This window comes from Homo sapiens, chromosome 1 (assembly GCF_000001405.40).
Source record: "Homo sapiens chromosome 1, GRCh38.p14 Primary Assembly".
In the NCBI taxonomy this organism is placed as follows: Eukaryota; Metazoa; Chordata; class Mammalia; order Primates; family Hominidae; genus Homo; species Homo sapiens.
Window position 1 is genome coordinate 169,562,729 of NC_000001.11, and position 25,501 is coordinate 169,588,229.

The 25,501-nt window shown below is 38.4% G+C and overlaps 1 protein-coding gene across 1 annotated transcript in view, besides 4 other annotated features; it reads right to left on the bottom strand.

The window, feature by feature from the left end:
• The window catches only part of F5 (coagulation factor V), a 74,531-nt gene extending 50,778 nt beyond the window's left edge, over positions 1–23,753 (bottom strand). The window contains exons 1-3 of the mRNA NM_000130.5: positions 23,501–23,753; positions 19,703–19,794; positions 9,493–9,615 (exon numbers count right to left, since the gene is read on the bottom strand). Of these exons, the coding sequence (NP_000121.2) occupies positions 9,493–9,615; positions 19,703–19,794; positions 23,501–23,658 (373 nt within the window). The 5' untranslated portion in view covers positions 23,659–23,753. The remainder of the gene's footprint in view (positions 1–9,492; positions 9,616–19,702; positions 19,795–23,500) is intronic.
• Positions 13,603–13,897: a silencer, noted in NCBI's record as "tiled region #2803; K562 Repressive non-DNase unmatched - State 22". NCBI's record gives its function as "weakly represses a minimal TATA promoter and a strong SV40 promoter by Sharpr-MPRA in K562 cells {active_cell/tissue: K562}" and the evidence as "EXISTENCE:reporter gene assay evidence [ECO:0000049][PMID:27701403]".
• Positions 13,603–13,897: an enhancer, noted in NCBI's record as "tiled region #2803; HepG2 Activating DNase matched - State 5:Enh". NCBI's record gives its function as "activates a minimal TATA promoter and a strong SV40 promoter by Sharpr-MPRA in HepG2 cells {active_cell/tissue: HepG2}" and the evidence as "EXISTENCE:reporter gene assay evidence [ECO:0000049][PMID:27701403]".
• Positions 23,227–23,728: an enhancer, noted in NCBI's record as "H3K4me1 hESC enhancer chr1:169555193-169555694 (GRCh37/hg19 assembly coordinates)". NCBI's record gives its function as "activates a minimal SCP1, AML or CMV promoter by ChIP-STARR-seq in naive H9 embryonic stem cells {active_cell/tissue: H9 hESC(naive)}" and the evidence as "EXISTENCE:reporter gene assay evidence [ECO:0000049][PMID:30033119]".
• Positions 23,729–24,228: an enhancer, noted in NCBI's record as "H3K4me1 hESC enhancer chr1:169555695-169556194 (GRCh37/hg19 assembly coordinates)". NCBI's record gives its function as "activates a minimal SCP1, AML or CMV promoter by ChIP-STARR-seq in naive H9 embryonic stem cells {active_cell/tissue: H9 hESC(naive)}" and the evidence as "EXISTENCE:reporter gene assay evidence [ECO:0000049][PMID:30033119]".

Genomic DNA, 25,501 nt, shown 5'->3' on the forward strand with positions numbered 1-25,501 from the left:
AATAATATATTTCCATTTCTTCCCTCCCAGCCTTTGTGCTATTGTCATACATTTTATTTATATATACATAATATACCCCACAATAAATTGTTACTATTTTGCTTTAACATTTAGATAATCAATTGCCTTTTTAATAGATTAAAACGAGGAAAAAATTTCTCTATATTTATCAACTTCTGGAACTTTTCATTCCTTCTTATGAATCTAAATGTCTCTCTGACATAATATTTCTTCTATCTAAAGGAGTTCCTTTAACATTTTTTTCTGCTCTGTTAGTGAGAAATTCTTTCTGCATTTGTATGTCTAAAACACTCTTTATTTTGCCTTCATTTAAAAAAGACTTTTTGACTTGGTATAGAATACTAAACAGACAGATTCCCCTATCTTCTACCCTCCCAACACTTTAAAGATGTCCCTAATTGTCTTCTGGTGTGCATAGTTTCTAACGATAAGTCTGCTATCATTTCTTGGTTTTGTTCCCCTGTATGTGGTGTGTGTTTTTATCTCTCACTGCTTCCAATATTTTCTCTTTATCACTGGTTTCCAGCAACTTGATAGTGATGTGGCTTGGTGTGGTTTTCTTCATGTTCCTTCTTCTTAGTTTTGTCAAACATCTTGAATCTGTTGGTTTGTAGTTTACATTACATTTGGGAATTTTTCAGTCATTATTTCTTCAAATACTTTTTCTGTTCCTGCTACTTCTGGGATCCAATTACACATATGTTAGATCACTTGATATGGTCCCACAGTTCACTGATGCTCTGTTCACTTTCTTCAGCCTTTTTAATCTCTGTATTTCACTTTGCAGTTTCTATTGCAATGTATTAATATTTTCTACTATTTCCTTTCACAGTGTCTAATGTGCTATTAATTTCATCCAGTGTTTGTTGTATTAGTGGTATCCTTCAGTTTATAATATATTTTTTTATCCTTTATTTTTTACCTTTCTTTTCTATGCTTTATTTTTTACTTTTCATGTCAACAATTGTATTCATCTACAGAAGTTCTGTGTATGCATATTTATATTCTCTATCTTCATCATGCTCATGCTTTTCTCTGCTTTCTGGAACATATTGAGAAGATTTATGATAGCTGTCTTACTGTCTCTGCCTGCTGCTTCTATTCTCTCTTTCACTTCTCAATCTGTTGAGTTTTTTCTTGGTTATGAGTCATCTCTTTCTGCTTCTTCTAATGCTTGTTTATTTTTATTAACATTGTGAATTTACATTGTTGTTTGTTGCATTCTTGTTAACTAGTATTGAGTTTTATTCACAGTTAAGATACTTGAAATCAAATCTTGTTTTTTATTCTGTTGCCTCCTCAGCAGCCTGTAGTCTAATTTTATCCACCCACTGTTTCTAAATCCTTCTGACAATTCTATCCAGTGCTCATTTATTAGGAGGTCTTTCTATGTTTGATGGTAGGAACATAAACGATTACCGGCCCTGAGTAAGGTCCAGGGACTGTTCCACCTGTTCCTTTCAAGTGACATTTTTCTTACCCTCAGTACTTTCCTCACATGTATGTGCAGATCAGTATTCAACTTGACAAAACCTCTCTGTAGATTCTCTAGAGCTCTTTCTCTGTGATTATACTGTCCTCTGCAGGACTCTGCCCTAAAATCACAAATTCTAGCCATTTGAGCTTCTCCGAAGTCCAAACTCTATTTCCTCAACCCATAGAGACTCTGTCTGGGTTCTCCCTGCTTGTGCTGTTCCCTGGAAACACTCTTCAAGCAGTAAGCTTAGGTGCTCATAGGGCACATCTGGTTTGTTACTCTTCTTTTACTGTCTTGAGTTGTCTGTCATTCGATGTCTGAAAACTTCTGTTTTATATGTTTTGTCTGCCTGTCTAGTTGTTGAGAAAAAGGGTAAATCTGGTTCCTTATGTTCTGAAGCCAAAGTCTGAGATGCTAAATTTCCATATAAAATATTTTTTTACATTACAGCAATGTCAGCTTCCCTTCTTTAATTGTACCTTTCCCCATCCCAACTGTGGAAAATCTATTCCACTCAAAACGCTTTGCATGAGTTTGCATGGCATCAGCATATGTTTGGATTCTCCAGGTGGGAGTGGAAAATAAGGCACATCCATTCAATAGCAATGAAGGATTCAGGTACTACAGTAACGTGCAATGTATCTCATGAGGTTCTGAGCATGGAAACCATAAGTTGAGTAGGTATATCTAGATTTACTTCTTGCATAAAGTCCTTAACGTGGACCACAAGTCCATGTATGATTTACCTCTACTTCTCTCTTCAGTCTTATCATACGTCTTTTCTCTTGTTTACTATGGGCTCCTTGTCCCTTGGGTCCCCTGTCAGTTCCCCAGACATCCAAGTTCTGTCCTACCTCAGGGTCTTTGCAGATGCCATTCCCTCTGCCTAGAGTGCTCTTCCTCCCGTCTTCCTTTTGATAAATATGTGCTCATCATTCAGACATCACCTTGAATATCTGTTCACTTCTACCTTTATCTCCAATTCTGATACACATTTTTTTCTTTTACAGCACCCATCACAATTTGTAATTAAATGCCTGTGAGATTATGTGACTAATTCATTTTCTTCTACTAGATCATAAGTATTTGTGTCCTGCACATTTTGGTCACCCAAGTGTGAGTTCCTCAAGGAAAAGTGCTGGATTGTATTTGTCTTAGTGTCTCTGGTGCCTTCCATAGGTACCTAGAGAAGCATGGAACATGAACATGAAGAAGATGCTCAGTGAATATTTATTAAACTCCTAAAATTTAAGGTCCTATGGGCTACAGCCTAGGTCAACAAGTCAAAGCTCATGGCTGTGTGTTGTTATGATTGCGTAATGTTAAAATAGATTAAATGCCAACATTAAACATCCGGAGAAATTATATAAGAATTTGGATTACTGGTTTCTCTTTAAAAAACAAAAACCTGGAGATCTGGTTAACAACAGGACCAAACTCCTGCACAGAATTTTGTTGGATCTGGATCTTAGCTGCCCTTTTCTGCTTTCTGATGATCAGTTCTTACTGGACCAATTTTGTTCACTGAACTACTTATCTGGCTACTATAGGCATCTGAGTTTGTGAACTTTGCGCTAGCATAAAGTGGACTTTGTTGTGTCTTCCCCCAACACACCCCAAAGGATAGCTTGACACTAATAACTAATATTTACTCTAGGCTGTACTTTCACTTTGATAATAAAACTGTCAAGAGCTGAGAAATGATAAAAGCTTAAGTCACTTCCTGTAAGTTATAACATAATTCTAGTCTATAAAAGAAAAAAAGTTTATGGAGAAAGTCTCCACTAATAAGCAGGAAGCATTATCTGTGAAAGATTACAAAAGAGCTTTGGTAACAAAGCACAAACAGGACTGATAAGGAGAGTTGCCCTCTCAGGTCAGAACTTGTCTATTAACTGAAATTAGCATGGCTAGTTGATGAGCTGCACCATCTACCTTGAATCAAGCATGACAGCCCTTCTTCAATGCTTCTTGCTACATGGCCTCATAAAGTTGAAAAATGATGTTTCTGGACAGGCAGCTTCCACTGTTTCAACTGTTAAAACATCACATGGGGTTTCTATAGTAGAAAATGATATTCTTTCCACTGCCTTCACAAGCTCCCCTAAGGGCAAAACATTATATTCTTTGCAGGGTAGGAGATAACTTTTGAAGTTCTTCCTCCCTTTATTTTTCTGGGTAAATGTGTGCTCATTCTTCAGATGTCAGATCAAATATCATCTTACACCCTTCTTGATCTCTGATTGTGATACCTGTTTGTTTGTTGTTGGTTTTTTGACAGCACTCATCGCCATTTGTAATTCAGTATTTGTGAGACTATATGGTTAACGATACTTTTTTCTGCTAGATAGTGGGAGAAAGCACTTGAACTTCAGGGTCAGAGTTGAAAATATCTTGGTGGTTGTATCATTTGCTAACTGTGGGAACTTGGGAAGGTTTCTTGAAGTCCCTTTAACCTCAGTTTTTTCATTTATAATTTAAGATAATATAATCCTTTTTCTAGAGATAACTTTATCCTTTTTGATGGGTTATGAAGACTGGAAAATATTTGTAAAATTTCTGGCTCCTAACAAATGCTCTGATAGCCTGTGGGAATACATGTTCACATTTTGGTTAAGTATTTTCTTTCCCAGTCATGTTGCAATTAATACAGCCTCTTTCCTTTATGTTCTACTTTAGATAAGATAGATCTTAAGTGTGCTTGAGTTCTGGTAACACATGTGAGTAAGATAGAAATTGGTGATTTTCTTAGTTTGGGTTGCTGTTAACAAAGTACCCTGGATTGAGTGGCTTATAAACAACGGACACTTCTTCCTCACAGTTCTGGAGGCTGGAAGTTTAAAATCAGGGTGCCAGCATGGTTGGGTTCTGGTGCAGGGTCTCTTCCAGGTTGTAGACTGCCATCTTCTCCTTGTATCCTCACATGGTAGAAAGAGGGTGAGTGAGAGGGTCCCTTTTATAAGGGCACTAATCTCATCATGAGGGCTCCATCCTCATTACCTAAAAATCTCCCAAAGGAGGGGGGAGGGATAGCATTGGGAGATATACCTAATGCTAGATGACGAGTTAGTGGGTGCAGCGCACCAGCATGGCACATGTATACATATGTAACTAACCTGCACAATGTGCACATGTACCCTAAAACTTAAAGTATAATAAAAAAAAATCTCCCAAAGGCCCCACCTGCTAATGCCATCACACTGGAGGTTAGATTTCAGTATGTGAATTTTTGGAGGACACAAACTTCCAATCCATTGTAGTGATGTATCTATTCCAAAGGCGATGAAAGTAAATAAGACTTTTTTGGTAAAAGTACTTTTTTTTTTTTTTTTTGGTAATAAGTAAGACAAAGTACCTGCTCAAAATTATCAGCAAAATCAATAATTTTAAAGCAAGGGAAAAATAATGCATAGTCCTTACTTTCTAATCAGTCCTCGGCCCCTCAGTTTAGTTCAGTAATGATTAATATCATCATGATCATGACCATCATCATCCACTAGGTTCCAGGCTCTGTGCTAAATGCCAGAGTACAAATGTAAAGAAGACAGGGCCTGGGCCCCTGAGGGGCTCTGCCTAGTTAACTCTAGGGTACATGTTGGTGCCCTAATTGTGATAGGTTTGACCTCTAGATTTCTTCTAGGGCTACAATTAGAACACACTGTCAATCTGGAATGAGAACCAACCAATGTAAGTATCTAAAAATTGCCCAAGATGCTATAACACTTGTGCTAGGTATAGCAGGGTGACTGATTTTCTAACAATATTGAACCTATCTGTAAACAATCAATGTTTCACACCTAGATTTATTTTAACACATACTGGGCTTAAAAAATTATTGTATATACTTGTGTACATGATATTTTGAGATAGATAATGAAAGGTTACTCTAGTCACACAAATTAATGTCTGTCTAATTGATCAAACTAAATTACTCAGAATTTCACATTCGCCTGTCAGTTACATATAAGATGAATTTCAAATAATTAAATGAATGATGTTAATTAAGTTTAGTATACTACTAAAAGTTGAATTATGAGCATCTTGAAACAGTGAATGATATAGACTTGTACATAGGATATATTCTATAATTACACTGAGTGAGATGGCTAATGAGACAATTGGGGTGTAATTTTATCAATGCTTTTATTCTTTTCACTTCAAATTATTTTACCTTTAGTCTAGAATAAAACAGGTTTGTTGTATCTTTGATTTTACAACATACATTAATATAAAGTATAAAATACAAACAGCTATTAAGAGGAAGCATTTGTGAGATGCAGTTTTGGTGAATGTGATTTTGACTTTGTAATCAAAATAAAAAAAATTAAGCTCTAAACTGAAAAGAAGAGAAATGGACAGGGACAACTATTGTGCTAGAGCACAAGAAGTCCTTGTTCAGCTGCTTGCTGGAATAAAATCTTTACACAAGGGTAGCTCTTCATTTATATTTACTCAGTTCTGTTCATTTCCTGCTCAGTCGATAGTCAGCTTTGTATTGTATTTATTCTTGTCATGATGTACTAATTACTTGCCAAAGGCTCTCAGTATTTTTTAAAAATGAAAAATGGTGCATACAAGCTTTGGGAAAGTGAAGTTACATAAAGAGCCTTTTTGGTTACTCATTAGGGTGCTCACTCAGTAACTCTTCCCTTGTTACTTATTTTTGTGAACAACTCTTTTCCTCTCCTAAGTTAATAAACTTAGTGAATGCTTCACTACATTCAAAGATTCAGAATATTCTTTTAGAAGCTATAATGTAGGCAATGGGCGAATCAATGCTGACGTTTTATAAAGAGCTGATTTCATTGCACAGGACTTGCAAGTCTCTTTGGAAAAGGGATCCACATTTTTGTGATTTATTAAATATACAAACTATAGCCGTTATAGTTTGTTTCAGGTGTTTATCATATACTCAAGGAAGTCTCTACATAAGGCCAAAATATTCAGATGAGAAGTGAAAAAATGTAATCACCTACATTAAGTCAAGCATTGGAATGTTTTGGAAAAATCTAGAAGAGCAAATTTTTGTATAGAGAATTTGGCAACACTTAGATACAACGAACAATGTCTGGCAGAAAACGTGTTTTATTTGGAGAGCTGGCTTACCAGCAGATGGCTATATATTATAGAACTAATTTTGTGACATCACATTCATATGCAACTCATATATTTAAAATATGAGAATATAACTAAAAGAAAAGAATAATATTAAATTCTCCATGAAACAAGCTTTTTAAAGGTAATTGACCAAAACGACTTTGAAAATTTTACTGAACAACAAACTTTGCTCAAAGGTGCAGCATTGAAGTCAATTTGATGCATGCTAGTTACAGAGTTTCTGAAAATTTAACCTCAAATTGAAACCCTTTAGTGACAGCTTTTAAGTGATTAGTTACAGTTGCAGATACTTTATTCCCTGATCTAAGACAGTCTTATTAAATACATTATTAAAGGAAATGTCCTTACAAGCATTTTTACAAATCACCGTTTGTCCATTCTGTCAAAAAGGGTTATCCAGAGTTCTCTTATGTTCTGTTGTGGTTTCTCAAGCCAGTGTAATACTATCTTAACCCCCTACCACCTATCTCTCAAATATCTACCTCTGAGATAGAGGAATCTGGATTCTCATGTAACTGGCTCAGCATGCAGTTAGTTTATCCCCACTCCCAAAAAAATAGCTCAAACCACAGAGGGAGGCTATAGGTGAGGGTGAGTGTCAGACATGGAGGAGGAGATGTTTTATTTTAATGCAGAGGGCATAATAAAATCAACTTATAAGGCTTGTCTTTTACCATAAAAGATACTATCTGCTTACTAGGTTTGCATCTCATTTCCAAGGTAAAATTTTACTTTCCCTACCAATATGTATTTACCTTTCTTAGATTCATAGGACCAGAGGCAATATTATATGCCAATAATCATGTCTCCAGTGAAAGCTGTGGGAGCATTTTAAGCAATTGCTCATAAATAATTGCTGGCTGTAGGGAATGTAGGGACAAATAAACAGTAAAGGAAGAGGGATAGTGTTGCAAGGTTCATTCACTGTGCAAACAGCCCAGGTAGGGTCCAAAGTCTACAATTCTTACCTCCTCCCTTATTTGAAATGAAACCTGCATGTGACATTTTGATATTTTGAGGTTTCTCCCCCTTCTTCTTTACATTGCTGAACTTCTGATGCAGTCGTCTAGAAGCCTCATAAGTAGGTGAAGTGGTTGTTCACTATGTCACTGTATGATTTTAAGAACATAGGAGAAACTCCTGTTCCCACTACCTCACCCAGAGTCTTGCCAAATTCACTTTGGAAGAAATCTCAGTGCCACAGTTAATGCTTCATTGTTTTTCCTCAAGCCAAAGATTAAGTGCTAATGCAAGTACTCCTAAGGAAGGTAGTTCATTGACCTATTATCAGTCACTTATACCTTAGTGGGTATGAGTTTGACAACAGTTTATATAGAAAACAATAAATTTAAAAATTACTTTCTGATTTTTTCTGAAACTAACAAGTTTTAAGATAAATACTAAATTATTTGAACACATTTTAATTGAAGAATTATCTTTACTATCATGGCTAATATTTATTATCTGTTATATGCCAGTCATTATTCTAAGATTTCACGACAACAAACCTGTATGACAGAGACATGATTATTATTACCATTTTACAGATGAGAAAGATGAGGCACACAGAGGTTAAATAACTTCATAAAAGTCACTGAGCCAGGATTTGCACTTATTAGTCTAGTTCTAAAACCTGCACATAAACCACTCTCCTACTCAATTATTCTCTCAAAGGTATGATGGCTGGAACATGTAGAAGGAAAGATATTTAAATGTGAACCATGAAAAGTCTGAAATTATTTTAAAATGTTCTCATACCAACAACTATTATAATATGGATACAATTTTTTATACCAGTGCCTGATGGAACTCTACTATGCTTACAATGATCTGAACATCAGCATAATGGGATAATTAGAACCATATTAACATCAGGTACTTACTATTCAGCGGCTGATACAATAACTTGCATGACTATTATCTTTATGATTATTGCCATCATTGTCATCATTATTTATAGAGAGCTTATCCGATCCCAGGAACCATGTTTAGTACTCTACCTAAGTGACTTCATTTAAATTTCAGGCAATCTTATGGGTGGTTATAATCATTTCCATTTTATAGATGAGAAAACTGAGGCTCAGAGATGCTAAAGTCGTAGAATCAGAAATGATAAAGCTAGAATTTTAACTTGTCTGCCTTTAAAGCTTACTTTCTTAACCACTTCACTATGTCCAAAAGTCTAATACTATTAATGCTTCTAGTCTCACCACCACCAAATACCACTTATTGAGTGTCATCTATGTGCCAGGAAGCCTATATCAGGCTAGTTCTATGTCACTATGTCAGTGGCTCATGGGCCAAACCCAACCAATTTCCTGTTTTTGTAAATAAAATTGTATTGTCAGAGGCGGTCTTACTCTGGTGTATGACTTGAGGGAAAGAATACGGTAACAAAGTTAATTAGTTCTGGCATCTGTAACCAAAGCCAAAAAAATAGGTATCGTCTATGGCTGCTTTTGTACTAAAAGGCAGAGTTGAGTACTTGCAACAGAGATCTTATGGCCTGCAAAGCCAAACAAACTTACTATCTGGCCCTTTACGGAAAAATTTACTGACCCCCGCCTTAAACCATCTTTCAATGTATGTATTATTATTCCCATTTTAAGATGAACATATGAGAATTCAGAGAAATTAGATAACTTGCCCTCCCAAACATTAAAGAGTAAGAACCCAGTGAAAAATGCAGGTCTAGAGGACTCCAAAACCTTTTCCTTTTCTTCTCTCAAAACTTACAACAGCAACAATTTTTATAATTACCAGTTGCAAGAGATTTCCCTAACAACACGTGGTTAACAGTATAGTTTTAAATGTTGATGCTGGTATTAAAGACTTAGACATTTTCCCTTTTCAGAAAAATATTAGATTTATCTTACCTTCTGATAATTTACTGTACCTAATTCCTTGAGGATGGATGCTCAAGGGCTTATCTGCCTTATTTTTAAAGTGAACTTTTATGATGTCTCCGACTTCAGCATATAAAGTAGGCCCAAGAAGTCCTGTGAAAACAAATATTTAAACTATGTCTGTATTCAGGGTCATCAAAGGCAGAGTTGCTAAGCAAGAAAAACAAACAGATGATACCAAGAGTGATTGCTACCATTCCTCCTGGTCCTGAGGCTGACTCACTTATTTTCAATCTAGAAGGTTTTAGCAGCTCATTAACTCAACATTACATGTACACAGATCACAATAGAATGGTAGAAACACTTGTCCTGGACCCAAAAGAAGTCAACAGAGTAGGAGAAATAGTTCTGGCCAAGTCTTGCCCACTTTGACCCACTGTCATTCCTTAGCAATAACTTTCTTTGCTTAAGAAAGATGTTCATTTCAATTACAGAGGGTGATGCGAGAGGGTAGTTACTTTAGATTTCTCTGACATGGGTGTGCTCAGAGACCTAGATGAATTGAGGAACCAAATCACACAGCTCTCTGGCTCTGAGGCAGGAGTAGTCTTGATGTATCTAAGGAACAGTAAGAAAAACAGTACGGGAAGAAAGAAGAGATGAGGTGGATGGTAGGTGTGTAGAACAAGGGAGGCCCTATGGGCTACGGTAAGAACTTGAATTTTCTTCTAAGTGAAATGGGACATCACTGGAGCATTTTTCTTTTTTTTTTTGAGATGGAGTCTCGCTCTGTCTCCTAGGCTGGAGTGCAGTGATGCAATCTCAGGACCCACTGCAACCTCCGCCTCCTGGGTTCAAGCAATTCTCCTACCTCAACCTCCCAAGTAGCTGGGATTGCAGGCATGCACCACCACACCCAGCTAATTTTTGTATTTTTAGTAGAGATGACTTTTCACCATGTTGGCCAGGCTGGTCTCAAACTCCTGACCTCAGGTGATACACCCGCCTCAGCCTCCCAAAGTGCTGGGATTACAGGTGTGAGCCACCACGCCTCGTCTAAGTGAAATGGAGCATTTCTAAGTAAAATGAAAAACCACTTTGTACAGCAGAGACATAGTATAACGTGTATTAAAAGTTCATCCTAAAACAAAAAGTTCATCATAGCTGCTGTGTAGAGAATAGTCTGTGTAGGGACAAGAATGGAAGCAGAGAGATTAGGCAGTATAGGAAAGAGACTGCAGTGTACTGGGCCAGCACATGTAGCAGAACGTGATGAGTAGTGGTTGGAGTCTGGACATTTTTGTAGGTAAGGCAAACAAGACTTGCTGATGGATTGCATGTGGCTTGTGAGAGACAGAAGTCAAGGATGACCTCAAGGTGTTTTATCAGAACAACTGGGTAAATGATGTTATTAGTTACTGCAATGGGAGAACACAGCAGAGACAGGAGGTTATGGGTGCAGAAATCAAGAATGAGGTTTTACTTTCTACATGCCAGGCACTGTGTTAGAAAGTTTCTGGCTACCTGGATCAAATACAGTCCCTGTACTGAAGGAACTCACAAGCTAGTTTGGAGATAGATGTATGATAGGAGCGACTGCTGAGATATGGGCAAAATATTACAGAAGAAGAGAGGATGAAGCACAAATTCTGTCTGGGGAGTTAGGGAAAAAGTTGATGGCTGAGTCAGAATTTGAGGAATTGTATATAGTCAGCCCTCCATGACCATGGTTCATATTCATGGTTACACATCCATGGAGTCAACCAATTTTGGATCAAAAATATTCAAAAAACAACAATAAAAAATAAACAATAAAAACAATACAAATAAAACTCTAACATAATAGCAATTTACATAGTATTTACATTGCATTCAGTATTATAACTAATTTAAAGATGATTTAAAGTATATGAGAGGATGTGCATAGGTTATTGCAAATACTATGAAATTTTATATAAGGGACTTGAGCATCTGCAAATTTTGGTATCTGTGAGTAGTCCTGGAACCAATACCCTGTGGATACCAAGGGATGACTGTACTAGAATTTCCAAAGTGTAGTCCTTGGAGTCTCTGCATCAGAATCACCTAGGGTCTTAATAAGAGGCAGATTTCCAAATATCACCTCAGCCTCAATGAATCTGAGTTCTGGAGGTGAAACTTGGGAATCTGGACTTTAACGTGTGCTCCTTGGTGATCTTGATGTCTTTGAAATCTTGAGAATCTATGACCAAAAGCCCCATTCCAGACAAGTGACAGAAATCAACTACTGTCATTTCTGAGCCATCCACAAGTGTCATGGGATTGGCTTCTCGCCATTAGGCGTCCTAGAAGCAGGAGAAGGAAGTCACGGCACTCATGGAGTTCAGCCAGCATTTGTTTGCAGTGGTGATGATAATCATAATAAGGCTTTCCTGTACTGTTTCCCTTAATACATTCAAGCACTGTAAGTCCCTACATTAATCCTCACAAGTTTTTAAGGTAGATATTAAGATCCTCATTTTATAGGTGAGGACACTGAGCCTCAGAGAGTTTAAATATCTTGCCTAATATCACACAGCATCATGATTTAAAGTTTAATATGTCTGTCTCTAGATCGTGACTTTTAAGCCACTTCTTTATACTACACCTCCACCTTGTATTCATTCCTTTATTCATTCCTTTATTTATTCAATGAATATCAAGTGCCTATATTATCCTAGGCATCAGAATTGCAATGGTGCGTAAAAGAGTAAAATAGATACACCCACTCCCTGCCTTCATAGAGTTTATAAAAGTCAAACATTTTTATAGTTCTATAACTTTATACGTTTTTATAGTAGGAAAGACAGATTTTAAACAAATGATCACAAAAACATTCAATTTAAACCTATGGTAAATATTATGACAGAAAAGGAGGGAATACTCTGAAGAGTATTTGACAGTGGAATCTAGTCCAATTGGAGGTGAGTTGGGGAATCCCTTCCCGAGGAATTAATCCTTTAACTGAGGTCCAAAGGCAGAGAGGAAAAGGGATGGCCAAAGACATTCTAAAAAGTTAGAGTAGCGTGCGCAAAGGCCCTGAGGTGCCAGAAAATGTGGCCTTTTTAGAGAACTGACAGTTATCCAGTGGGGAGGTGGAGCTTAGTATGTGAAAGGAAGGGGCAGAAGGTGAAGCCGAAGGCATCCTCAGAGTCCCATCATGCAGGGCTTTGTAAGCCTCATAGAGTTTTCCCTTTAGCCTAAGAGTATCTGGAAGCCATTAAAGAGTTTTCATCAGGGGTGCAACATGGACCAGATTTTGGTTTTAAAATCTCTGGCTGTATTTGTGGAGGATGATCTCGGAGGAGACTGAGCAGAGAACAATTGAGAGAACAGATAGAAGACTCCAGGAGAGATGGTGGTGACTGAGATTATGATGAGATGATGAGGAGAGAATATATTAGTGATGTATTTATGAGATAAAATAGTTGGAACTTGAAGATGGATTGGATGTGGGGTAGAGAATAAAGGACATCAGTTGCTGTGGATGGCTGATGAGGTTCTGATTTGGGGAGCTGGGTGGAGGAGGGTGCCATTCTCTGAGATGGAGGACACCGTGGGAGGGCTTTGTTTGGTGGGTGTAGTAGGCAGAATAATGTGCCCCTGCTGAGATGTCCACGTCCTAATCTCTGGGACCTGGAAATATGCTACTTTATATGGCAAAAGGGACTGTGTATCTATGATTAAGAATCTTGAGATGAGATTCTTCTGGGCTGTCCAGGTGGATCCCATGTAATAACAAAGGTCCTTATCAGAGGGATGCAGGAGAATCTGAGTTAGGAAGAGCTTGGAAGATGCTACTCAGCTGGTTTTGAAGATGGAGGAAGGGGCCATGAGCCCGTGAGTGTAGGCAGCTTCCAGTAACTGGAAAAGACAAGGAAACAATTCTCCCCCAGAGCCTCCAGAAGGAATGCAGCTCTGCCAACACCTTGATTTTAGCCCAATAAAACCCATTTTGGACTTCTCATCTGCAGATATATAATCATAAAAGAATAAATTTGTGTTGTTTTAGCCACTAAGTTTGCAGTAACTGGTTACAGAAGCAATGGTAAACTCTGATTTCTGGGACAGAGGTCCTATCTTTCCCTACCCCTGTCTTGCCACCCACGGTTGTCCTATTCCTTTCCTTGAACTCCTACTCCTGGAGTTTATTCTGATCTTGTGCCTGAAGCTTTTTGTTTGTTTTTATGTTAGCTTTACACAGGACTGTGGAGGTCACAAAGTTCAGTCCTTATTTTAGTTAACAAAGCCTGGGAGGTAGGAATCGGGGGACAAAGGTGACTTGCCCAAGGTCAGTCAGTGATCTGGTAGCATTGCTGGGATCAGAACTCAGATCTCTGGACTCCTGAGCCAAAGCTCTCCCTATTCCTTCCACGGGGCAGGCTCAGGCCCCCATCTTTATAGAATAGTCCAGATGTCTACACCTCTTTTGACTCCTGACATGTCGGACTCCACTGACTGACCCCCCTCTTCCAGCTGCTACCCTCTGTCTTGGCTCCTGATGGAAGTTTCCACTGACTATTCCCACCTACCCCAGCTGCCAATGAGCCCAACAGGGTGCTGACTATGCTGCCAATTGTGTGCCGCATTTAGTTGCCATGGTTCTCTTGCTTGGTTGATTTGTTTGTTGGCATCACATGCCTGCAAATACCAGATGCCCAGAGAAAGTCTCCTAAGTTATTTAACCTAATAAGACCTATTACTTCAGTGGACAGTTTGGAGTATTTATTCAACCTCCCCTCCTGCTTCTTCAGATTTAAGGCAAAACAAAAGGATGTTTTCATAAATGCATACCAAATACTTTCACGCATGTAGGAAAACACATGGCTAAATGGTTTTCAAGCTGCTCTTTAGCTCCTCCAACAGCCAGATGGCCTAAAACCCTTCTAACCCTCTCCTCAGTGCCCAAAGCTGGATTGGGGAAAGGAGTGGCCTACTTCAGGGCTTGGGGAAGCCAGCACAGCATGTACCCAATTTAGTGCAGTTGTGGAACTGGAAAGGACTGCAGAAGGTCAACTAATCCAATCCCCTGCTCTTAGGTGAACAATGCATTACATAACACAAGGTAGTGATTGTTGCAGCTATTTCAAAACTCCTTCAGGGACAAACATTTTATAATTTGTCCCTGAAAAATATGCAGACTCAAAACTAGCCAATTTAATTAATTATTTATTTATTTAGAGATGAGGTCTTATTTTGTCACCCAGGCTGGAGTGCAGTGGTGTGATCATAACTCACTGCAGCCTCCAACTCCTGGGCTCAAGTGATGCTCTTGTCCTAAATGACCCTCTTGCCTTAGCCTCCCCAGTAGCTGAAATGACAGGTATGTACCACCATGTCTGGCTAATTTAAATATATATATATATATATATATATATATATATATATATATATATGTATGTATTTTTTTAAATAGAAACAGAGTCTCACTACATTGCCCAGGCTGGTCTAAAACTCCTGGCCTCAAGCAATCCTCCCACCTTGGCCTCCCAAAGTGCTGGGATTACAGTCATGAGCCACTATGCCCAGCCAAGACTAGCCATTTTAAAGCCCAAGACAGAATTCCTAAAAATGACCCCAGCTGTACTCCCTCACCTGCCCAAATGTCCACAAACCTTATTGGATGGGCATCTTCATACCTCCAATCCTACAGCCCAGCCCCCTACAATTACAAGAACTAACAACAACAATAGTTCATGCTGCAGGAGTGAGGCTCATGACTTTTTCAGGGCTCAGCTAGAATCACACCCAGCAGATGAGTGGAGCAGGACATAGGGGAAAGGTACAAATAACACAGGACTAGTCTGGGGAATGGGAGAGGCCACATAGTTAATGGCAGTGTTCAAATCCAGATCTTCTCAGTCAAAATAAAAGGCTTTTCCTTCACGCCAGATTTGCCTCCTTGTATCAACTACTATAGAGTTACAAAGGTGAATAAGATACCACTCCTGCACTTCATAAGTTCATAGTTAAGCAACTTTGGACATTCAGGAAGAGATTACATTAAAATGGACGTCGAAACACCTTTGTCCACATGAAACAAATATATTCTGAGATACACAGGGGTTGACAGAAAGGTGCAAAGGCCTTACACATAAATTGGAGACTGTTCTCACCAACTGTCAGAGTCTACCTCTAACAAGGTTAAATCAGGAAATCACTAAAAAATTTAATCATCTGAAAGGACTTTGATCACAGAACCCTTTTCTTCAAAAGCTATCCATGCCTTTTTATTGTTTAAAAGTCTTCAGCCTGGAATTAGTCCTTTCCGTCTCTTATGGCATTTAGCACAATGTCTCACACAGCAAAGGGATTAAAATTTGCTTAGCTTGGCAAAAGCCACAAAAGGTACACCTTCAAATACCGGCCCCAATCCTCTTTTCCTGGCCCTAATGAGTATGTTTCCCACCTTATATTCCCTTCATCTACCTACAATTTAATTTAATTAAATAGTTCTTAAGTATCTATTGTACATGCTAAGCTTGGAGCTGGAGCTATGAAAATGAATAGACTCTGTGATATAGGACAGGACATCCTTCAACTTCCTACTCATAACTACAAACTTAATTTTATTTGCAACGTTATCCTCTGCTTTCCTGGCCCCCCATGAAGGTGGTAGCCATTCTACCTAAGGCCAAGCCAGCCCAAGGTTTGAATCCCAATGCTTCCTGCTTCTTCTAAGTCTCCATTAATCATTCTCTCTCAGATGTTTTATCCCCACATTTTCTATTGGAAAGGACTTCATGGCATTTCTATAGAGTCTTCCCTTAAATATTTAAGTCTCTGTATTCCTTTTTATAAAATTCTCAAATGTCCTTAAGCTCCTCAGTACCCACCCCCACCCCCGAAACTACCCTGTCTCTCCTCCCATCTGGAACCAAGTTTCAGGGAAGAGTTATCTATAAGACCCTTGTGCTTCAGTTTCCTCGCCTTCCATTCACTCCTCAACACCCTGCCATCTGGTCTTGTCCCACTATTCCATAACAAAGGGACCATATTTTGACCCTTATATTAATAGCATTTGACCCTTTGCCTCCAGGATAACACATTCTCTAGATTTCTTCTCCCCTCCCTGAACAGGCTTTCTCAAGCTCCTTGGTAAACTTTTCTTTCTTGGCTCATCCCTTGGACTTTGCTGCTACTTTGAGCTCTGTCTGCAGCCTTCTCTTCTCATCACATCCTCCCTGGGTGAGTTCACACCCTCTAAATTCTTCATTTGCCATCTTTGTTCTGATGTCTCCCAAATGTTGACAGCTAGCTCAGATCTCTCTTTTGAGGGCCAAACTTCTACACCCGTCTGCTCACTTAACATCTCTAGGTAGATATTCTATACACACCTCAGACTCCAAATCTATACTTATCACCTTCTCTCACAAACTATCTCCTTTTCTTACATTTTCTTTCTCACTGAATGGCACCCTATCCATTCTGCTGTTCAAACCAGACACCTTGAAGTCCATAACAATTCCCTTTTCTTCCTCATTATCTGCATCTAATGAGTCACCAAGTTTAATCAACTTTAGCTCCTAAATATCTTTGGACTCCATCTCAGCTTCTCTGCTATCTGGATTGATACAACAGTCCCATGACTACTTTCTCTGGCTCTGGACTGGTCTTTCTCCAATCTATTCTCTATAATTGGACAACATAATCTTTCTAAAGGACAAATATTTCTCCTGCTGAAATCCTTTTAGGGACTCCCTATTCCTCTCAATATAAAGCCTAGCATGGATCCCTGATCCCCATCTAGTTGCATCTCTTGTTAATTCCTTCCCTGAAGTTTGTGGTCCAACTGTGCTGATCCAGTTATGGTTCCACAAATATACCATACTCTCACCTCCAAACTTTTAAACATTCTGTGCCTTGGTTTAAAATGCATCTATCACCCAACCCCTTGCCTCCCCACTTGGCTTTCCAAGATCCTACTCTTTTTTCAGCTATCAATCTAGAAATAGAAATACTTTCCTGACCACCAGACTGGAGATAGGTCTCCTATGTCCTACTACAGAATCCTCATCATAGTTCTTCCTTATTACTCTACTGTCATTGCTTGTCTATCCATAGGTTATCCCCAATAGCTGATTGGCTCCTGGAAATCAAGGTCCATGTCTTATTCACTTTATCCCAGAGCCTAGAATGTAGTAGGTTCTCAATATACTTTTTTGTTGTTGTTGTTGTTGTTTTTTTTTTTTTGAGATAGAGTTTCGCTCTGTCACCCAGGTTGGAGTGAAGTGATGCGATGTCAGCTCACTGCAGCCTCCACCTCCTGGGTTCAAGTGATTCTCATGTCTCAGCCTCCTGAGTAGCTGGGACTACAGGCATGTACCATCATGCACAACTAATTTTTGTATTTTCAGTAGAGGCGGGGTTTCACCATGTGGGCCAGGCTGGTCTGGAACTCCTGACCTCAAGTGATCCATCTGCCTTGGCCTCCCAAAGTGCATGAGCCACCACGCCTGGCCTCAATACACAATTATTTAAAAATAAAAGAATATTTAAATGCAGATCTGTTTAAAATTAAATAAATATATAAATGAACACATGTGAAGACTATATAAATGAGTGGAGAAATATAGATATATAGATATCCATAATACTATGATATATATGATCTAAGTTATGATTAGTAATAGCAGCAACAATAACAATAATGTAGCTAACTTCTACTGAGTGCCTATTATGTGTCAGCATCATTATAAATACTTTGTACTTATTAACTCAATTGATCCTCTTAATATCTTTAGAAGGTAGGGATTAATTCAAGGTACTGGGGATGTATAGAAGAGGGAAGATTTAATTCTGCTGGTATTGAGGGGGTGTCAATGTAGCTTCAGAGGGAAAGTGGCTTCTGGGTAGGTAGTAGTGAAAGCCTTGGTTTTGGGTGAGATTCGAACCCTGGGGAAGAATATCTGGTGGGGATACTGAGCAGGAGTGGTAAGAGAAGTCTGAGAAAACCAAGGGGAAGTGGCACTAGAAAAAACAGGTAAAGCGAGAGCTTCAGAAAGGAAGAGTGTTAAATGTCCTAGTAATGTCTAGTAGTAAAAGAACATAGGCTCTGGCACCTCAAGTCCTAGGTGCCCTTTTGTGAGAGTAATTTTAGTAGACTTATTCATACTAAAGCAGATTAGGGAAGGAATATAGGCGAAGAAATGTAGAGAATGATACAGAGTTCTCATACAGAAAACTGGTAGTGAAGGAAAGGAGAGAAAAGGAAAAGGCAGGCAGGGTCAAGGGGAGATTTTTTTTTTTCTTTTTCTAGATAGGAGTTAACTGGACATGGTTTGATTTGGTTTTGGTTTAGTCGTTGATTTTTAACTGAAAGGAAGACTCCCATTGACTAAATATTGAAGATTAAAGGAGATCAGAAGAGGCAGGACAGACTAGGATGATTCTGGGAAAGACAGCAGGTCTTCATCTGATTGGGGAAAGGGACAGGTGAATTACTGACAAGGGGATTCAACTGGAGGAAGTTCTCCCTTGATGGTCTCTATCATCCCTGCGGAATATGGTATCATAGTTAAGATATTAGAACCCTATTCAACCCAGTCTTCTTGATAAAGGAAGAGATGAGGAAAAAATAAGAGATTTTCTTTAAAAATTATGGCTATTGTATATATCACACTAAATAAACAGAAGAATAGACGGGAAAGAGATGCAAAAGAGTCAGCCATACATAGTTCCTTTGAATGAATCTAGGGAGCCAAATGGAAGCAAAATATCATTTTGCGAAGGCACATCTATGCTCATTAAACTAGACCATAATCTCCATGAACCCAGGATATGAGACTGTCTTGTCCACTATTGCATCCACAATGCCTATTTCAATGCCCAGCCCATACCAGGTACTCAATAACAGTTTTTTAGATGAATGAATAAAAATTCAAACACTTATAAGTTTTATTTAGTTATTTTAATCAAGGTTAAAAACAGAGCCAGCTTCATGGGTATGTGACCTGGGCAGTTTCACAGGGCCCCATGCCCCAAAGGGCCCCTGGCTTGGTTTAATGCTTTGCAGTCACTGTGAAATTTTCAATAATATGAACAAGGGGACTCACATTTTCATTTTGCACTGGGCCCCACATATTATGTAGCCAGTACTTCTTAAAAAAAAAACCACACGTTTCTATAAATTTTCAGTAAATGGATATTTTAGATGCATGTGAATGCCAAATTACCCATAGAAATTTATCTTTAAAATTAAAAAAGTATATTTCAGGCTTACCTGAAATGGTAGATTGTGGTTTTTCTTTCTTAAAATATGGTTCATACTCTCTGTAGACAATTTTCTTAAAGGAAGTTACAGAAAGATTCAAACTGGAAATAAAATACAAAAACTAATTTGAAAGGCATATTCAATATCTATTTCTCACATTACAAAAAAAGTAGATCTCTCATATCTTCAGACTTCTAGTAGAATACCAGTATCTTTATTGTATTTCAGAAGTCCACAGTTTTATAAATATGATCAATAAGTAAAGTTAATGAAATAATTATTGGTCTCTTCAAAAATATCCTGTTGTGATAACTATTTGTTCACAAGTTAATCTACCCTAATATCATTCCTCAGAATCAATTTTCTAAAAAGAACCCAATATCACAGTAGAAACCCAAACTGTAGGTTTAGATTTTATATGATTAAAATATGACCAAATCCTTTATGAATAAATATATGAGCTGTTTTTCAACTGATCAATCAAATATAGTTTTAATCTACTGGGGAACATTGTGAAAAAGTATTGATTTGGTGGAATTTATTTCTAGTTGAGAGGTGAGAGATGGCTAATGGGGTAAAAGCCCTGGGATTCATATTGGAAACAAACAAATGAAAAAACTGTTTTGGAAAGAGTCAGTAACTTGTCCAAGAGATACAGTTGATAAGTGGCAGAACCAAGATTAAAAAATGTGAAACCACTGCATTCATGATTTTAAATAAAATTAGAGAGAGGACAGACAACAGGGAGAGTTGTGAGTGGTGGGTTACTTTCCTGTTTTTGCTGTTGTTGTTATTGTTCTGTACCTCTAAAGGCAAATCAGTCTTATCCTTGTCTTAAACTCAAAGATGAGGGTAAAAGGAAAGAGAATTTGGAGAAAATACCTTGCAAATGTCTAAATCAGTTGATCAGAGTGGCTTTGTTTTGCTTCCTAATGTGGGGACAGTGGCCCAGCCATAATCAAGACATAACAGCACCCACATATGCCATGACTTCTATACAGCGCGGTGGCTAGGGTGCAGGCTGTGAATTCAGTATCTCTGGACTTGAAGCCTATATCTACCTCTTATTGTTTTACTTTGAAAAGTTTACTTCATCCATTTGTGCCTCAGTTTCTACAACTATGAAATGAGATTAATACTGAAATCTCCTTCACAGAATTGTTGTATAATTTTAAATAAGTTGATATGTGCAAAAGGCATAGAGCTGGCACACTAGAAATACTCAATCCATGTTAGCTAGTAATATTATTTTGTAAATGTAATAAGAGTTAGTCTTTACCCTTCAGGTTTTCTCAGAAAGCAAAAACAAATCTGTAGTTACAGTAATGCTCACAAATTGTAATATGTGGAATACAGAAACTGTGTTAATATGTGGGGGCAGAATTAAAGGAGGCACGTAAGTACTTTTAGAATAGCTAGATAGAGAAGGTAGTGGATTCTCCATCACTGGAAGCATTCAAGTAGAAATTAGACAACTACTTGGTAAGGTCATTGGTGCTGAGGGAAAGGGGAAAAGTAGAAGGTTAAAGCGTGGAAGTTGAATATGAATTAAATGAACTCTTAGCATTCTTCTAACTTAAGAATTCCAGGATTCTATATACTAATGTCCCTAATGTGGAAGTCCATTTTTATTTATTTATTTTTAGTACAATTGAAAAGTTATTGTCCTCCCCTGCCCCAGATCTTTAATACAGAAATGTAGATGATGGTGTAAAATCTTTACTAAAAAATATCAGTCTCTTACGTGGAGTAATTTCAACAGAGAGATGTTTCCTAACATGTTTTTACTATGTATGCTGTGTATTCATACTGAGGTATGTCTATTTTGATCTGAACAATTTCTATTGGAAAATAATCTATCTGATTAAAAAGTTACAGATCATATGAATTCAAACAATGTGTACGACGAGTTTTTCATTTATAAGGATTGTTTAAAGATGATTTGTTCATAATCACAAAATCATATAAAGCTAGAACCCTAGAAGGAAAATGTATGTATATCTTTTCTTCAATATCTCTTTGTATACATGTGAGTGACTAAACAAGTTTTCTAAGGAAATTTTTGAAAGTGTTCACCTTAGACTTGGAGCAAGAATAATAGATACATTTTACCTTTAAAAGGCATTGTCCTGCTAATATTATATGAAATAAGTAGATAGATGTCTGCTTTGTGCTAAAATACACTTTGCCAAAAGATGGAGTTGGCTATGTTGATATTCACCTAGTGAGTATCATAGCTCTAGGGGCAGGACAAGTTAGAACAAGTTCTTAGTTTAAGCAGCCAGATATATGGATTAGATTTTTCATAAGAAAATGCTAGAGAGAAATGATATGATTTAGGGTTAAACAATATGACAGTTTGTCTGGGTTGTGTTTCTATGGTTTTGACTCAACAATTCCTACCAGAGGAACGAATCTCCAGAACTTTGGAAACTTACCCACAGGATGAGGGGACAGAATGACCAGTCATGGTTCCCTGTGTACTCACCATGTGAATCAGACCTTTGCCCTATCTGGTTCTGCCTCCGGTATTTTGCTTGTTATTTTCAACGCTAACTACAGACAAGAGAAAAAACTCCCAAGCATGAACCCAGCATGCTACAAGAAAGCCAACAACCAAGTCTGCATTCTACTCATGAGCAGGCAAGATTAGTGTTAGAAGGACTGTTATTTTCCTTGGGGTTTTAGCTTACGGCAGTTCCCAAAGGGTGTGGGTGTGACCTAGATTATCACTTTGAAGTACGATATTTAAAATGATTATTTTTGAGAAGGAGGGATCTCTTCTTATTATAAGACCAAGATGGTATGTAATACCCTCCAAAATAACCCAGTTACAATGAGAGTTTTAAAAAGGTTAATATTATACACTAAAAGATCTCAAAATATTACATTATTTTTTGGCAGATTACTTTGGTTTTGTAATTGTAAAAGAGGAACACATCTTTCATAATGAAGTGTGATGTAAGGAAAAAAAGTGAGTCACACTAGCAGGTTTACCATTTAAAAAATAACTAACTGGAAATATTGAATAGACTGTATGATTTAGTTAATTTCTGAGAAGTCTTATTTTTAACATTTCAATTAGAAAAAATAGTTTGCAACTCAAGGATAGTATTTTATCTGAATTAAACCTCCTCTCAGTTACATATGCCTTTAAGTAGCCAAGGTAAACCATATCCCAGGACATGATGAACAGAGAGAAAAAAAAATGAAGAGTCACATTCAATAGGATAAATAAGTCAAATATGAAGCAGAAAAAAGGTGAAAGTACAAAAACATACAAGAACTGATGATATTTTGAAAGTCATTTATAAGGCAGCAATAAAATTATATGACAAAAAGCACAAGGTGTTCATTTTTAGTTTTAGAAGATGAAGCTATGTAGACAATGGAATAAATAATATGTAACTAGGAGTCTCATAAAAATACTATACAACTAAAAATCTGGAACAGGAGTTTGCAGGAAGGGCTAATGAGGGAGCAAGTGCCTGGTGCCTTTGAATTAACCAATATATAAGCCAACACAAACATACTAACAAAACTGTATTGAAAATAAACTTGAAAAGAAGGTAGCATCTAACCAATCAAATAGGGTGCTTTCTAAACCCTCAGAATGATAAACTACATTGTTGGATGCAAAATTAGCATTTGCCCAGTTTATTTAATTCAGTATACTCTCCTATTAGTTATATTTACTTACCTGAAGTTAAAAAAAAAAAAAGCCATGACATTGCAAAGGGAATGTTCTCTAAAAGAAATAGATTTTCCTCTCTAGAGAAGCCCACCCGGACTCCACACCTGAGTTACCTTGAGTTTGTGGGCTCAGGTCGGTAGCTCCAACTGATGCCCTGAGCAGCCACGTAGAACTGCCTTAGCTGTGCCGCTTCTGTCCCTTGGCTCCCCCAGCCTACCCAGCTGGTGCCCAAGACCACCAGGACCCAGAGGCGTGGGCAGCCTGGGAACATGCTTCCTTTCCTGCTCCCGCTGGCTGCCACCACCCCAGGACCTGGGCAGCGCTTGCCGAGCTGCTAACCACACTCCGGGCTGTCCCAGCTGCAATGAGCTCTAGAGGCTGTGGGTGGCAGCGTCCTCCTCCCCTGCAGTTCTTGCAAACGGCAGCAGCAGCCTCTGGCTCTCACTCCCTCCGCTTTTTCTGGGGCTTTTCCTGGCAGGGGTTTGGTGAGATCACAGCTCCCAGTGACCAGAGGTATTAGGGAGAGCAACCAAACTAGTGACTGTTTTACTGCAGGTGAAGAAGGGGCAGAGATCAGAGGCTCTAGCAGGCGGGACAATGCCCAGGGATTCATGAGCCGGACAAAGCTGTATCCCTCCATTTCCACCTGCCAACACCACGGAAGCAGTCGTCCGTTACCACTGACCTGAGGCCTGCCTGGGTCCAAGCTCACACTTGGAGAACCTTCTGTGCAGTGCAGTGGCACCCAACCACCTTAAGCAGATGGCTCCCCTTTTAATCTGAGGAAAAGAGTATTGTGCCCTGTTACTGGGCACTGAAACACTATTTTCAAGTGGTGAAGAAGCAGGGAACAAACACATGGACAAGGCCTACTGCTCTGAATCGCCTTCCTGGCCTCTATCAAGGCACAGTTCTGCCTTGATAAGGGCCTGTCGCCAGCTAAGCTGCAGCATAGCAGCGGGCTTGAAGAGCTTGGCTGAAAAAAATCAGTTGTCCAGATTTCAGTTTCACTTACTAGCTGTGTTGTCTTGGGCAAGTTACTGTACCTCTCTGTTCAGTTTTGACATCTGTGAAATAAGGATGACAATAATAATTTTTCCTGATAGGGTATGTTGGGAGGATAAAATGCTACTGTAAACTATAGTTCCAGCACTTAACACACAGAGGCTAGGCGCAGTGGCTCACGCCTGTAATCCCAGTACTTTGGGAGGCCAAGGCGGGTGAATCACCTGAGGTCAGGAGTTCAAGACCAGCCTGGCCAACATGGTGAAACCCTTCTCTACTAAAAATATAAAAAATTAGCCGGGCGTTGTGGTGGACACCTGTAATCCCACCTACTCGAGAGATTGAGGCAAGAGAATTGCTTGAACCTGGAAGGTGGAGTTTGCAGTGAGCTGATATCATGCCATTTTACTCCAGCCTGGGCAACGAGAGCAAAACTCCATCAAAAAAAAAAAAGAAAGAAAGAAAAAGAAAGAAAGAGAAAAAGAGAGAAAGAAGGAATCACAAATTTATTATTATGATCATATTTTCCTGTCTCCAGGACCCCTTGTATTCTTGTTTTTCTTGAAGGATCTGACTGTTTCACAGCACCTTAAATCTTACTTTGCTATTGATAGAGAATCTGCGAATTATATTGTCTGAGGCATCATAATGACTTGTCCTGGGTTCCCTGTATCTGCATGGCTCCAGGTTTCTGTCTTATGCTTTATGCATTCAGTACATTCAATAAATTGTAATCTGGCACCTCACATGAGGTCTCTGTTAATGATATCAGGCTCATCAACAGCCTCTTCCTCCCTCCCCACTCCCCCCAATATTCTGTCTTTTCTCCTGTGCTGATATTATTGCACCAACTTAGAATGCCCATTTTCTTCCTCTTTGCTGGGCCATTCTTTACAGTCCAGAGTTCTGCCTATCTCCCAGATTCTGGGCTCAAATTGGCTTTTCCATTTTATGAACTATTACAACACTATTCAAATTATATAATCATGTTAATTACCTTTTGTTATTCCATGCAGGTATCTATTGTCTCCCTAACTGAACAGTTGCTTACACTTCTTTATCTACAATATTATCAGTGTCTCCCAAAGTTGGCAGACCATCAGAATTCC